Below are 12,987 nucleotides of genomic sequence, written 5' to 3'. Positions count from 1 at the left end.
TTCTGAGACTACTGTTTTATACCAATCTAACCGTAAAATATTGGTGTAAATTATGTGTTTGCATGTATAGACAGAATATATGAATTTGGGGGTGGATCTCTGAAAAGTATACTAATATTTTGATAAATTGGGAGATTTCAAATTCCTGAAGGAGTACTTGTTCTGAGAAATTCTTGGCCCAAAAAAATCAGAATTAAATTCATAAAAGTGAGGTTTTAGGAGCCATTAATGGGATTTTGGGGTTTAGTAAAATTTTAAGCACCTACAAATATATAAATTATCAATTTTATTGTTAGTATTAAAAAATTTAATTTCAACCATGACCAAGTGGGATTTATCCCAGGTATGAAAAGCTGGTTCAACATTTGAAAATAACATTTCTAAAGAAGAAAAATTACATGAATTTTATCAATAGCAGAGAAAGCATTTGACAAAATAACCCCATTCATGATAAAAATTCTCAGGAAACTAGGAATAGAGAACTTCAACTAGATAAAGAAATGAGCTAACAAAAAAACCACAGCTAACATCATATACTTAATAATGAGAAATTAGAAGCTTTCCCATTAAGATCAGGAATAAGGCGAGGACGTCTTCTCTTACTATTCCTTTTCAACATTGCACTGGAAGTCCTAGTTGTACTGGAAGTCCTAGCCAATGCAGTGAGACAAGAAAAGGAAATAAAAGGTATAAATATTGAGAAGGAAGGAATAGAACTGTCTTTGTTTACTGATGCAATGATTGTCTATGTAGAAAACCCAGAAGAATTGACAACAACAATAATAGAACTAATAAGTGATTATAAAGGCTTGCAGGATACAAGGTTAGTATACAAAAGTCAATCAAACCAGGTGCAGTGGCATGTATCTGTAGTCCCAGCTACTCAGGAGGCTGAAGCAGGAGGATTACTTGAAGCCAGGAGTTTTGAGGCTGCAGTGAGCTATGATTGCTGCATGAATAGCTACTGCACTCCAGTCTGGGCAACACAGCAAGACCCTGTCTCTAAAAAATGTCAACCGTTTTCCTATATATCAGCCACAAACAGTGGAATTTGAAATTAAAAACAATACTATTCATAGTAGCACCCCCAAAATAAAATACTTAGGTATAAACCTAGTAAAATGTATCTAAGATCTATATGAGGACAACTGCAAAAATGATTAAATAAACCAAAGAACTAAACAAATGAAGATATATTTCATATTCATTAATAGGAAGGCTCAATATTGTTTAGATGGCGGTTCTTTCCAACTTGATCTATTGATTCAATGCAATCCCAATCAATATCCCAGAAAGTTATTTTGTGGATATTAAACTTATTCTAAAGGTTATAAAAAAGCCAAAGACAGAATAGCCAACACAATATTAAAGGAGAACAACAAAGTCAGAAAACTAACACTACCTTTGAGACTTACTATAAAACTACAGTAATCATGACAGTATGCTACTGGCAAAAAAGACAGATCAGTGGAACAGGATAGAGAACCCAGAAATAGGCCCATATAAATACAGTCAACTGATCTTTGACAAAGGAGCAAAAGCAATACAATGGAGAAAAGATAGTCTTTTCAACAAATGGTGCTGGAACAACTGGACATCCACATGCAAAGAAATCTAGTTACATACCCTGTACCCTTCACAAAAATTAATTCAAAATAGATCATAGGCCTACATGTAAAATGCAAAACTACAAAACTTTCAGAAGATAACATAGGAGAAGATCTAGATGGTGGTGATGACATAGCTGATAAAGGACTGCTATCTAAAATATACAAAAAATACTTAATAAGGGACAAAAAATTTGATTTAAAAATGGGCAAAAGTCCTGGACACCTCACCAAAGAGGAGATACAGATGGCAAATAAGCATATGAAAAGATGTTCCACATCATATGTCATCAGGGAAATGCAAACTGAAACAACAATGGGATACCAATACACACCTATTAGAATGACCAAAATCTACGACACTGATAACACCAAATGCTCTCAAGGATGTGGAGCAACAGGAACTTTCTTTTATTGCTGGTGGGAATACAAAATGGTACAGCAACCTTACAAAACTAAACATACCCTTACTATATGGTCCAGCAATTGTGCTCCATAATAATTACCCAATGAGTTGAAATCATGTCCACACAAAACCCTGCATGCAGATGTTTATAGCAGCTTTACTCATAAGTGCCAAAATTTGGAGGCAACTAAGATTTCCTTTAGTAGGTGAACGGATAAACAAATTGTGATACAACCAGACAATGGAATAATCAGCGCTAAAAAGAAATGAGATTTCAAGCCATGAGAAGACATGGAAGAACCTTAAATGCACACTACTAAGTAAAGAAGCCAATCTGAAAATGCTATATGCGGCCAGGCGTGGTGGCTCACACCTGTAATCCCAGCACTTTGGGAGGCTGAGGCAGGCAGATCATGAGGTCAGGAGATCGAGACCATCCTGGCTAACGCGGTGAAACCCCGTCTCTATTAAAAATACAAAAAAAAAAAATTAGCTGGGCGTGGTGGCGGGCACCTGTAGTCCCAGCTACTAGGGAGGCTGAGGCAGGAGAATGGCATGAACCCGGGAGGCGGAGCTTGCAGTGAGCTGAGATTGTGCCACTGCACTCCAGCCTGGGCGACACAGTGAGACTCCGTCTCAAAAAAAAAAAAAAAAAAAAGAAAGAAAGAAAATGCTACATGCATAATTAACAACTATCTGACATTGTGGAAAAGGCAAAACCATGGAGACAGAAATATCAGCGGTTGCAAGGGGTTAGAGAAGGAGGAGGGATGAATAGGCAGAGCACAAGATGTTTAGGCAGTGAAACTATTCTGTGATACCACAATGGTGAATACATGTCATTATATACTTGTCAAAACCCACAGAATGTAAATGTACAACACCAAGGGTGAGCCCTAATGTAGACTATGGACTTTGGGTGATTATGTATCAATGCAGGTTCATCAGTTCTAACACAGTACCATAATGATGTGGAATGTTCATAGCAGAGGAGGCCATGCACACGTGGGGGCAGGGAGTGTATGAGAATTAGCTCTACTTTGTGTTCAATTTTTCTGTGAACCTACAATTGCTTTAAAAATTAAAGTTGGGGCCGGGCATGGTGGCTCATGCCTATAATCTCAGCATTTTGGGAGGCCAAGGTGGGCGGATCACCTGAGGTCAGCAGTTCGAGACCAGCCTGGCCAACATGATGAAAACCCATCTCTATTAAAAATACAAAATTAGCTGGGTGTGGTGGTGCACACCTGTAATTCCAGTTACTTGGGTGGCTGAGGCAGGAGAATCACTTGATCCTGGAGGCAGAGGTTGCAGTGAGCCAAGATCACGCCATTGCACTCCAGCTTGGGCAAAAGAGCAAAACTGTCTCAAAAAAAATTAAACTCGGCATGGTGCAGCAGTCTATAATTCCAGCACTTTGGGTGGGATTTCTTGAGACCAGGAGTTCAAGACCAGCCAGGCAACAAGGTAAGACCTCATCTCTATAAGAAATACAAAAATTAGCCAGGCAAGTTGGCTCGCACCTGTAGTCCCAGCTGCTCGGGAGGTGGAGGCTGCAATGAGCTGCGGTCATGCCACTGCATTCCAGCCTGGGCTACAGAGTGAGATCTTGTCTCTAAATAAATAAGGAGAGAAGGAATGCTTCTAATATTTATATTTTTAAAAAGATAAAAGTATACTTAAGAAGAAAAAATAAAATGGCTATTTAAGAAAAAGGTATTGGCTAGTTCCTATGATACTGGGTTATCAGAATTTAACATCCACATTCGTGTCACTAAAGTCCCCACTGCTAAATCCAACTGGCTTTAAAAAAATAAAAAGTAAAAAAAAGATGTAAGTTCGTATTGACCTTCCTAGTTCTGGCCTTAACCTCTATCTAAAAGAATACTGGCCAATATTTGCACATTATGAGTCTATTGCTCCATAAATAATTTTGATATAATATCATATAACCCAGAAGAATGGGGGACATTCTTTAAACAAAAGAATTTGTTACAAGTATCCAGTTTTGTAAGCACGCCTTTCTATTTAGTATGGTTATCTGTTGTCATATCTACACATTGGATAGGAAAAACAGCCAAACCAGAACTGAGCAGTTCTGTTTAACTGTAAGCTACTTTGCATATTGTTATTAAATGATCACCTATAAATCAGGTTAAGTCCAACTCAGCCCAAAATACAGCATCCTGACGACAAAACTCAGGTAAGAGACTATTCTCCAGAGTGGCCCGTGGGGAAGAATAAGAACATGATTTTTAAGAAAATCCCTAGGTACAGTTGATAAATACTGAATTTTGTCAGCTATCGGATTATTCCATTATTTCAAACTACCAATTATTCCCCATATAATGGAAGATCCAGGTTTTGCTGGCAATTAAATCATCTAGAAGAGCAGAAGGAGTTTTGATTTGGAAGTCGGGACACTAGGTTCTGGCCCCTGCTCTGCTACTAGCTTTGTAACCTTAGCAACATATCACAACCTATGAGGAAGTTTTAAGTTTCCTTCTAGCTCTAACATTCCATAATTCAATTATATCGGCAGTTGTAGCTTTTTATTTTTTACATGCTACATATCTTTTATATCTCTGAAATTTGAAGCTTTTATGCTCAGCAGAGCATCCAGAATCTCTTACAATTTTATCATTAAGACCTCATCATTTATTTCCCAGAATCGCTCTAAGGCAGAATCTGAGATTTTCCCAACATAGGTGTGTTTGTTAGCTGTGTCTGTATCTGGAACCATGGAGCCCCAGCACTACCAATCTGTGTTGCTTTCTTTTAAAAACTTATACTCAATTCCTACAAACACATCCAGACCCCACTAGGCTTTCTATCTTGATTCTCCTTGTTGCTGCATTTTATTTCATTTTCTCACTCTGTTGCCTTAAATTTTCTTCTTTGAATAAAAGGTGATCATATTTAAATGCTAGTACATTGATTGGTGAACTTATTGGAAATGCTCAACAGAAAAAAACTTCTCATCAATGTGCCTCCAGAGACACCATGCTCTTTTTTCAAGAATTACGAAAATATTGTTAAAACCTAGAAAGTTTTAATTACTTGTGGCATATACAAATTACTCAGATTTCATCTGGGTCAAGATTTAAGATATTGTTTAAATGGTCTTTTAGGGTAAAACCATCACCAAAAGAACGATTTTTGTATAGTTAGGTTTGATGACATCTGCTTTACTTTTTGGTAGCCTGTTAATTCCAGCTTGTTAACTACAGGCAACAATATGGCTCTGCTGTTGTCGGAAGTGCAGTAATACGGGCTCCACACCCATTTGCCACCATTTTGCAGCTTCTGCCATACCCGTTCTTTCTCTCTTACCCTCTAGAATTCCTGGCTTGGGAATTTCCTAACTTGTTTCTCTCAGTAACTTTTTCTTTTTGACAGAATCCTGGCTAGTTTTTAGTTTTCCAGAGATTTTTGTTTTGTTAGTTATCTTAGGTCATTTGGTCAGTAATTTGGAATCTTTCATTTCCTGTTCCTCTGTTTCGATTTTTAATTGGAGCTATCCCACTTATCTCATCCCACCACCCCGTCGCTTTTAAGAAGAGCTTTTCCTGGCATTGACTTCTTTTCCAGCCTCTTTCACCATGACTTACTATAGCCTTTAACCCTGGCCACTCCTCCCTCCCGGCACCCCTGCCCCTGCTGCCCTTGCTGTTTCCCTAGTCCCCTGACCTTCATACTTGAATTCTGGTCTTAGGGGCTGCTCCTCCCACTACACAGTGCAGCCTGCTGAGTTTTTGCTGTATTCAGGTAGAGAAACAAGTGCCAATATTATCTAATCTTGCCCTAAACATTAGGACTGGTGTGTGTGTGTGTGTGTGTGTGTGTATGTGTGTGTGTGTTTAGTATGCCAAGCACAGATAATAACCCCTCACTCCTAAAGATGCTGAAAAATCAACCTGCTGAGAAATTAACACCATATTTCCTTCTTTGATGGAGGCCCACAATTAGACTTCAAGCTGCTTTCCCTTCTCCATTTTAGGTATGTTCCTCATCTCTCAACATGTGTGTTTAGGATAGATCAGTGCTGTGACTCTACAGTGTTAAGGAAAACATAAACCAGGTTTTCTATAAGGTGCAGTTTAGAAAGGAACGCTACATAAGGATTCATTCATCTCTAAAGAAAGGAAAGAGGCAAATGCTGGGTGCATTATAGGCACGGTCACTCCTCTGTACCTGGGGGGTTGGGTTTAGGACTCCCCTTCGGATAACAAAATCCACAGAGGTCCAACTCCCTTACAGAAAATAACGTAGCACTTGCATGGAACCTACACACACCCTCTCAAACACTTTCAATCATCTCTGTATTACTTATAATACCTAATGCAATGCACATTCTATACAAATAGTTGTTACACTGTATTGTTTAGAGGATAATGCCAAGAAAAAATGTCAGTACTTATTTAGTACCCATGCTGCCATCCCTTTTTTCCCCCTGAATATTTTCCACCCATAGTTGGTTGAATACACAGATGTGGAGCTCACCAATATGGAGGGTCAACTGTAGTTTTTTCACTTTATCCTCACAACCACCCTGCAGAATAGTTAGTAGCTCATTTGGACATGGGGAAAGCGAAAGCTCAGAGAGGTTAAGACACTTGCCTAAGGACACATAGCTAGGAAGGGGTAAGGCCATATTGAAACCTGAGGGTGTTATGACTGAGAGAAAAAGCTCTTTCTCCCCCCGCCTCCAAGTTAACCGGTTACACTGCAGTGGCTCTGTAAAATCTGTTGTTGCTACATGATTACAGGCAGAGGCAAAAAGTAACAGTAGTTTAAAACAGGAGAAGGATATAGACCTATTCACAAAGAAGAAATGCGTTGGTGTGGAACCTCTTGGGTTATACTGCTTCATCCTTGAGTTCTACAAAAACACACACACACAAAAACCAACAAAACTTAACTATAGGCTGGGTGAAGTGGCTCATGCCTGTAATCCCAGTGCTGTGGGAAGATCTTTTGAAGCTAGGAGGTTTAAAATCAGCCTGGGCATCAAGGCAAGACCCCATCTCTACAAAAAAAAAAAAAAGCCAGGCATGGTAGTGCACACCTGCAGTCCTAGCTACTCAGAAGGCTGAGGTAGGAGGATCACTTGAACCCAGCAGTTTGAGATTGCAGTAAGCCATGATCACATTACTGCACTCCAGCCTGGCTGACAGAACAAAACACCACCTCTAAAAATAAAAATATAAAATAAATAAAAAAATTTAAAAACCTAAACATAGCTGCACTTTACTCAATATATTTACAGTTCTACATATGTAAAAACTTGTATATTGACTATGTTTTAAATGTGTAGGGGAAGTTTCTCACCTAAAGGAGTCCCATAGTGAACATTTAAGAGCAAATGATTCCTTTTTTATTTGTATTTTTGGTTTTGCCTCTAGCACATCAGGTATTCTTTAAGAAGGCTATGCCTCTGAGGTTGCATGATCATTAACTAATTCATAATTTCCCTTGCATATATTTGGGTATTTTGGTGTTTCAGCCTTTCCCACACTTTTTTTATTTGCATGTCTTCACGATCACCATTATATCTTTGTTCCACCTGTACTATTATTTACTCACTCTTTGTCTTTAAATCAAATCACGTTTCTTACTCAAGTAGATTTAGTTTTAAGACAAACCTTATGGCCGGGCACAGTGGCTCACACCTGTAATCCCAGCACTTTGGGAGGCCAAGGCGGGTGGATCATGAGGTCAGGAGTTTGAGACCAGCCTGGCCAACGTAATGAAACCCCGTCCCTACTAAAAATACAAAAAATTAGCTGGGCGTGGTGGCGGGCACCTGTAATCCCAGCTACTTGGGAGGCTGAGGCAGGAGAATCACTTGAACCCGGGGGGGCAGAGGTTGCAGTGAGCCGAGATCGTGCCACTGCACTCCAGCCCAGGCAACAACGCGAGACTCTGTCTCAAAAAAAGAAAAAAAGGAACTTTATGTCGCTACCATAAATGTGAAATTACTAGAACTCACAATAAATAGAAGTTAGTAAAGACACTGAATTCTAACTAGACGCTATTGCTTGTTGAAGGCTTTGATCTTAGGAGGATTAGAAAGCATTCTAGGCCAGGCACGGTGGCTTCCTGTGTGTAATCCCAGCAGTTGGAGAGGCTGAGGCAGGCGGGTTGCTTGAGCTCAGGAATTTGAGACCAGCCTGGGCAACATGGCAAGACCCTGTCTCTACAAAAACATACAAAACTTAGCCAGGCGTGGTGATGGCCACGTATGGTCCCAGCTACTCAGGTGGCTGAGGCAGGAGGATTGATGAACCTGGGAGGCTAAGGCTCTAGTGAGCCATGATCACACCACTGCACTCCAGCCTGGGTGACAGAGCCACACCCTGTCTCAAAGGAAAAAAAAAAAAAAAAAAGAATTCTAGTGGTGTGGTGTGGAAGACACATTCTCAGCAGACTAAGGTTGTATCTTTATAACCACAAGGATTGAAAAAGAACGGAAGGACAATAACTTTCTCATAAGGTGATTCAATGTTATTTAGTGCTGTTTCTGTGTACCATCAAAAATCCTCTTACTACACACAGAATATTATAACACCATCTCATTGTCCACATGAGCTCAGAAATTGGTCATCAAAGCAGAAAAGTCTTTAAAACATTGATCTCCGGCCGGGCGTGGTGGCTCACACCTGTAATCCCAGCACTTTGGGAGGCTGAGGCGGGCGGATCACAAGGTCAAGAGATCGAGACCATCCTGGCCAACATGGTGAAATCCCATCTCTACTAAAAATACAAAAATTAGCTGGGTGCAGTGGCAGACGCCTGTAATCCCAAGCTACTCGGGAGGCTGAGGCAGGAGAATTGCTTGAACCCAGGAGGCAGAAGTTGCAGTGAGCCGAGATCACGCCACTGCACTCCAGCCTGGGCAACAGAGCCAGACTCCATCTCGAAAAATAAAATAAAATAAAACATTGATCTCCAAGAAAGTAGATCATATCTGCTCTCTATCTGACCACATTGTTAAACTTGGTTATGTTTGCAGGTTAAAGAGGAAATGATGGACAACAGAGGCAACTCTAGTCTACCTGACAAACTTCCTATCTTCCCTGATTCTGCCCGCTTGCCACTGACCAGGTCCTTCTATCTGGAGCCCATGGTCACTTTCCACGTGCACCCAGAGGCCCCGGTGTCATCCCCTTACTCTGAGGAGCTGCCACGGCTGCCTTTTCCCAGCGACTCTCTTATCCTGGGAAATTACAGTGAACCCTGCCCCTTCTCTTTCCCGATGCCTTATCCAAATTACAGAGGGTGCGAGTACTCCTACGGGCCAGCCTTCACCCGGAAAAGGAATGAGCGGGAAAGGCAGCGGGTGAAATGTGTCAATGAAGGCTACGCCCAGCTCCGCCATCATCTGCCAGAGGAGTATTTGGAGAAGCGACTCAGCAAAGTGGAAACCCTCAGAGCTGCGATCAAGTACATTAACTACCTGCAGTCTCTTCTGTACCCTGATAAAGCTGAGACCAAGAATAACCCTGGAAAAGTTTCCTCCATGATAGCAACCACCAGCCACCATGCTGACCCTATGTTCAGAATTGTTTGAGTTGCTGTTTCCAAATAGAAATGAATAATATCACAAAATGGGGTCTCTTACGGCATCATTCAATAGTTTTTCCTAAATGTAATTTCCATGTGGGCAGGAAATAGCTCAAATGCTAACCTATGCTGGGTATTACTCGCTTGGGCTTCAATTGTACTAAACATGATCTCATGTAGGTTGAGGAGCTGCTCTGCTTCTTTCACGAACTCTAGGGGAGCAGGGGGCCCCAGAGTTTCTGCATGTCTCACCCTGCCCTTCTCACATGCTCGGCCAGAGGCTGAGCATGTGAGAAGCTCTCACGGAAGCTTGTGAAGCGTGACTGCTAACTACCTGATGCCGGTCGTCACTTCGCTGAAGCGTCGTGCTGAGCAATCACAATGAACTTCTCTTTATTTGTCAACATTTGGAGATTTTTACTTATTGGGGATTGACAAGAAGTCACCACCATGGGAAAGTGTCTTGGGGCTAAAGTGAAAGTAGTTTACAAAACCTTGTTGTTATTTGAAATTATTTCAGATGCATCATTTTCCTGCATGCAGACTTCTTCAGGCAGCTTAGTATAGGGTCTAAGAAGGCAGAGCTGTGGCCGGGCTTGGTGGCTCATACCTGTAATCCCAGCACTTTGGGAGGCCGAAGCGGGCGGATCACAAAGTCAGGAGATTGAGGCCATCCTAGCTAATGCGGTCAACCCCGTCTGTACTAAAAATACAAAAAATTAGCCGGTCATGGTGGCGGGCTCCTGTAGTCCCAGCTACTCAGGAGGCTGAGGCAGGAGAACGGCGTGAACCTAGGAGGCGGAGCTTGCAGTGAGCCGAGATTGCGCCACTGCACTCCAGCCTGGGTGACAGAGCGAGACTCCATCTCAAAAAAAAAAGAAAGTCGGGCTTGGTGGCTCATACCTGTAATCCCAGCACTTTGGGAGGCCGAGACAGGCGGATCACGAGGTCAGGAGATCGAGACCATCCTGTCTAACACGGTGAAACCCCGTTTCTACTAAAAATACAAAAAATTAGCCGGCCTGGTGGAGGGCGCCTGTAGTCTCAGCTACTCGGGAAGCTGAGGCAGGAGAATGGCGTGAACCCGGGAGGCGGAGCTTGCAGTGAGCTGAGATCGCGTCACTGCACTCCAGCCTGGGCGACAGAGCGAGACCAGACCTGTATCTGCAGTATAACTCTGCTACCTCTTCTCTATGTCTCGGTTCTTCTCCACAAAATGAGAATAACAACAACAGCAATTCCCATGTGTTTATGATGATGATTAACAGACCTTGACATGTAATAAGTATTCATAATGATTAAAAACTTTTTTTTGAGATGGAGTCTCACTCTGCTGCCCAGGCTGGAGTGTAGTAATGCAATCTCAGCTCACTGCAACCTCCGCCTCCTGTGTTCAAACAATTCTCTGCCTCAGCCTCCCGAGTAGCTGGGATTACAGGCACCCACCACCACACCCAGCTAATTTTTTTTGTATTTTTAGTAGAGATGGGGTTTCACTATGTTGGCCAGGCTGGTCTTGAACTCCTGACCTCATGATCCACCTGCCTCGGCCTCCCAAAGTGGTGGGATTACAGGCATGAGACACCACTCCCAGCCAAAAACATTTTTTTTAGAGATGGGGTCTTCCTATGTTGCCCAGGCTGGTCTCGAACTCCTAGCCTCAACCAATCCTCCCACCCCTGCCTTCTAAAGTGTTGGGATTACAGGTGTGAGCCACTGTGGCTGGCCATCATTACTGATTATTATTATCATTATCTTGTTTTGTCCATAGCATCACCATTCTCTAGGTTCTCTAAGCTAGAAAACTTGGAGCTGCCAGGCCTTTCCTTCATACCTGGGAAGGACAGTCCCTGCCCCGTATCTTGGGGTCTGCCTTCAAAGTGTGTCTATTTCTGCTTCCATGGCCAGCTTCAGCTCTTCCTTCTCCTTTAACTCCCAGGTCCCATCTGTCCCAAGGCCCAGTCAGTGACCTATCCCACACTGTCTATCACACTCCTCTCCACTGCTATGCCTCTATGAAGTCTTCTCCAACTTCCTATCCTAGCCGTTACTTCTTCCTTTATTTTGTATAAATATTTCTCTTGTGGTTGCTATCCTGCTATCTTTAGACACTTTACACACCTATCTCTGTCTTCTTCAGTAGACTGCAAGTTCCTTGAAGATAATTCATCCAGCCTTATTCATCTTCTATTCCTAGTACCCAGCAAAGAGCCTCAAATCAGGAAGGTGTCGGTGAATATCTGTTGTCACTGTTTTCTTATTCCAATCCCGTCACCTGTGTCTGGGTTATTGGTAGCAGTCTCCTGTCTGGCCTCTTGGGATGCGTTCTCAACAGGCTCCACCCTCACTCTCTCTGAAGGTATTTCATGTCACTTCATCGCTTAAGCTGCCTGATGACTTCCTTCTGAACGCCACCTTGTTTAAATTTATCAGCTTAGTTTTCAAAGCTCCCTACTGCAAAACAAAGCAGCAAACATAAGAAGCCGTGTTTTCTCATTTCTCCTTGCCAGCAACATTTCACAAAGCCCCTGACTCTTACCGCAGGCAGCTCTTTCGCTCTTCAGAAAGAAGCTTTGAAGACACGACAGGACAGAGTACACGCCCCTCTCCCTCCTCCACCCCGTCATCTCCTGCCTGAGTCACTACATTCCTTAAAAGATAAATGACCCGAGTTTTGGCCTTTTCCTATATGTAAGATAACATCTGATGGGATTAGCGATGATGCCTCTGTAATCTATAAGCAGGATTACTCTCACACCCACACTCTGATGTGAGTCTGCTTTAATGTGACTCCTAAGCAAGTTCAATGTGATTTTGCATGTGCTGAACCCATTTCCCCCAAACAGAAAATCACAGTCTCGCAAATGTATCCTTCTCTCTTCTCTCTTACTTCCTACCTAAACTAGAATATTCTCCTTTTCCCCTCCTCCACTGAAATCCCACTGTCTCATTCAAGAATCATTCTTTCACTGCCAGAGACTTCACGGGTATTTTTTAATTTATTTTTTATTTTTTGAGACAGAGTCTTTCTTTGTCACCCAGGCTGGAGTGCAGTGGCGCGACCTCGGCTCACTGCAACCTCTGACTCCCTGGTTCAAGCGATTCTCCTGCCTCAGCCTCCCGAGTAGCTGGGATTACAGGCGTGTGCCACCATGCCCAGCTAATTTTTTGTATTTTTAGTAGAGACGGGGTTTCACTGTGTTAGCCAGGATGGTCTCGATCTCCTGACCTCGTGATCCACCTGCCTTGGCCTCCCAAGTGCTGGGATTACAGGCATGAGCCACCGCGCCCGGCCATGGGTCTTTCTTAGACTCTCTGTGTGCCAAATAACTCCGCCTTGGTATACGGTCCTGGGCAGCAGTCATTCTCCTGACTATGAAGTGATGCTTCGGGAGGGCAGTCATCAGT

The 12,987-nt window shown here is 42.5% G+C and overlaps 1 protein-coding gene across 1 annotated transcript, besides 2 other annotated features; it reads left to right on the top strand.

Moving 5' to 3' along the window:
* Nucleotides 1-4,185: 4,185 nt before the first annotated feature.
* ASCL3 (achaete-scute family bHLH transcription factor 3) lies at nt 4,186-9,624 on the top strand. The gene is made up of 2 exons (NM_020646.3): nt 4,186-4,216; nt 9,029-9,624. The coding sequence occupies exon 2, from the start codon at nt 9,041-9,043 to the stop codon at nt 9,584-9,586; it is 546 nt and encodes a 181-aa protein (NP_065697.1). The 5' UTR covers nt 4,186-4,216; nt 9,029-9,040; the 3' UTR covers nt 9,587-9,624.
* Nucleotides 9,856-9,995: an enhancer, noted in NCBI's record as "active region_4397". NCBI's record gives its function as "activates an Ori minimal core promoter by ATAC-STARR-seq in GM12878 lymphoblastoid cells {active_cell/tissue: GM12878}" and the evidence as "EXISTENCE:reporter gene assay evidence [ECO:0000049][PMID:35858748]".
* Nucleotides 10,066-10,165: an enhancer, noted in NCBI's record as "active region_4396". NCBI's record gives its function as "activates an Ori minimal core promoter by ATAC-STARR-seq in GM12878 lymphoblastoid cells {active_cell/tissue: GM12878}" and the evidence as "EXISTENCE:reporter gene assay evidence [ECO:0000049][PMID:35858748]".

This window comes from Homo sapiens, chromosome 11 (genome assembly GCF_000001405.40).
Source record: "Homo sapiens chromosome 11, GRCh38.p14 Primary Assembly".
In the NCBI taxonomy this organism is placed as follows: domain Eukaryota; kingdom Metazoa; phylum Chordata; class Mammalia; order Primates; family Hominidae; genus Homo; species Homo sapiens.
Note: the sequence above shows the minus strand (reverse complement) of the source record. Positions and strands in the feature narration are given on the sequence as shown.

Excerpts from the sequence above, each read along its gene's own strand:
- ASCL3 (NM_020646.3), top strand. The coding sequence starts at position 9,041 with ATGATGGACAACAGAGGCAACTCTAGTCTACCTGACAAACTTCCTATC.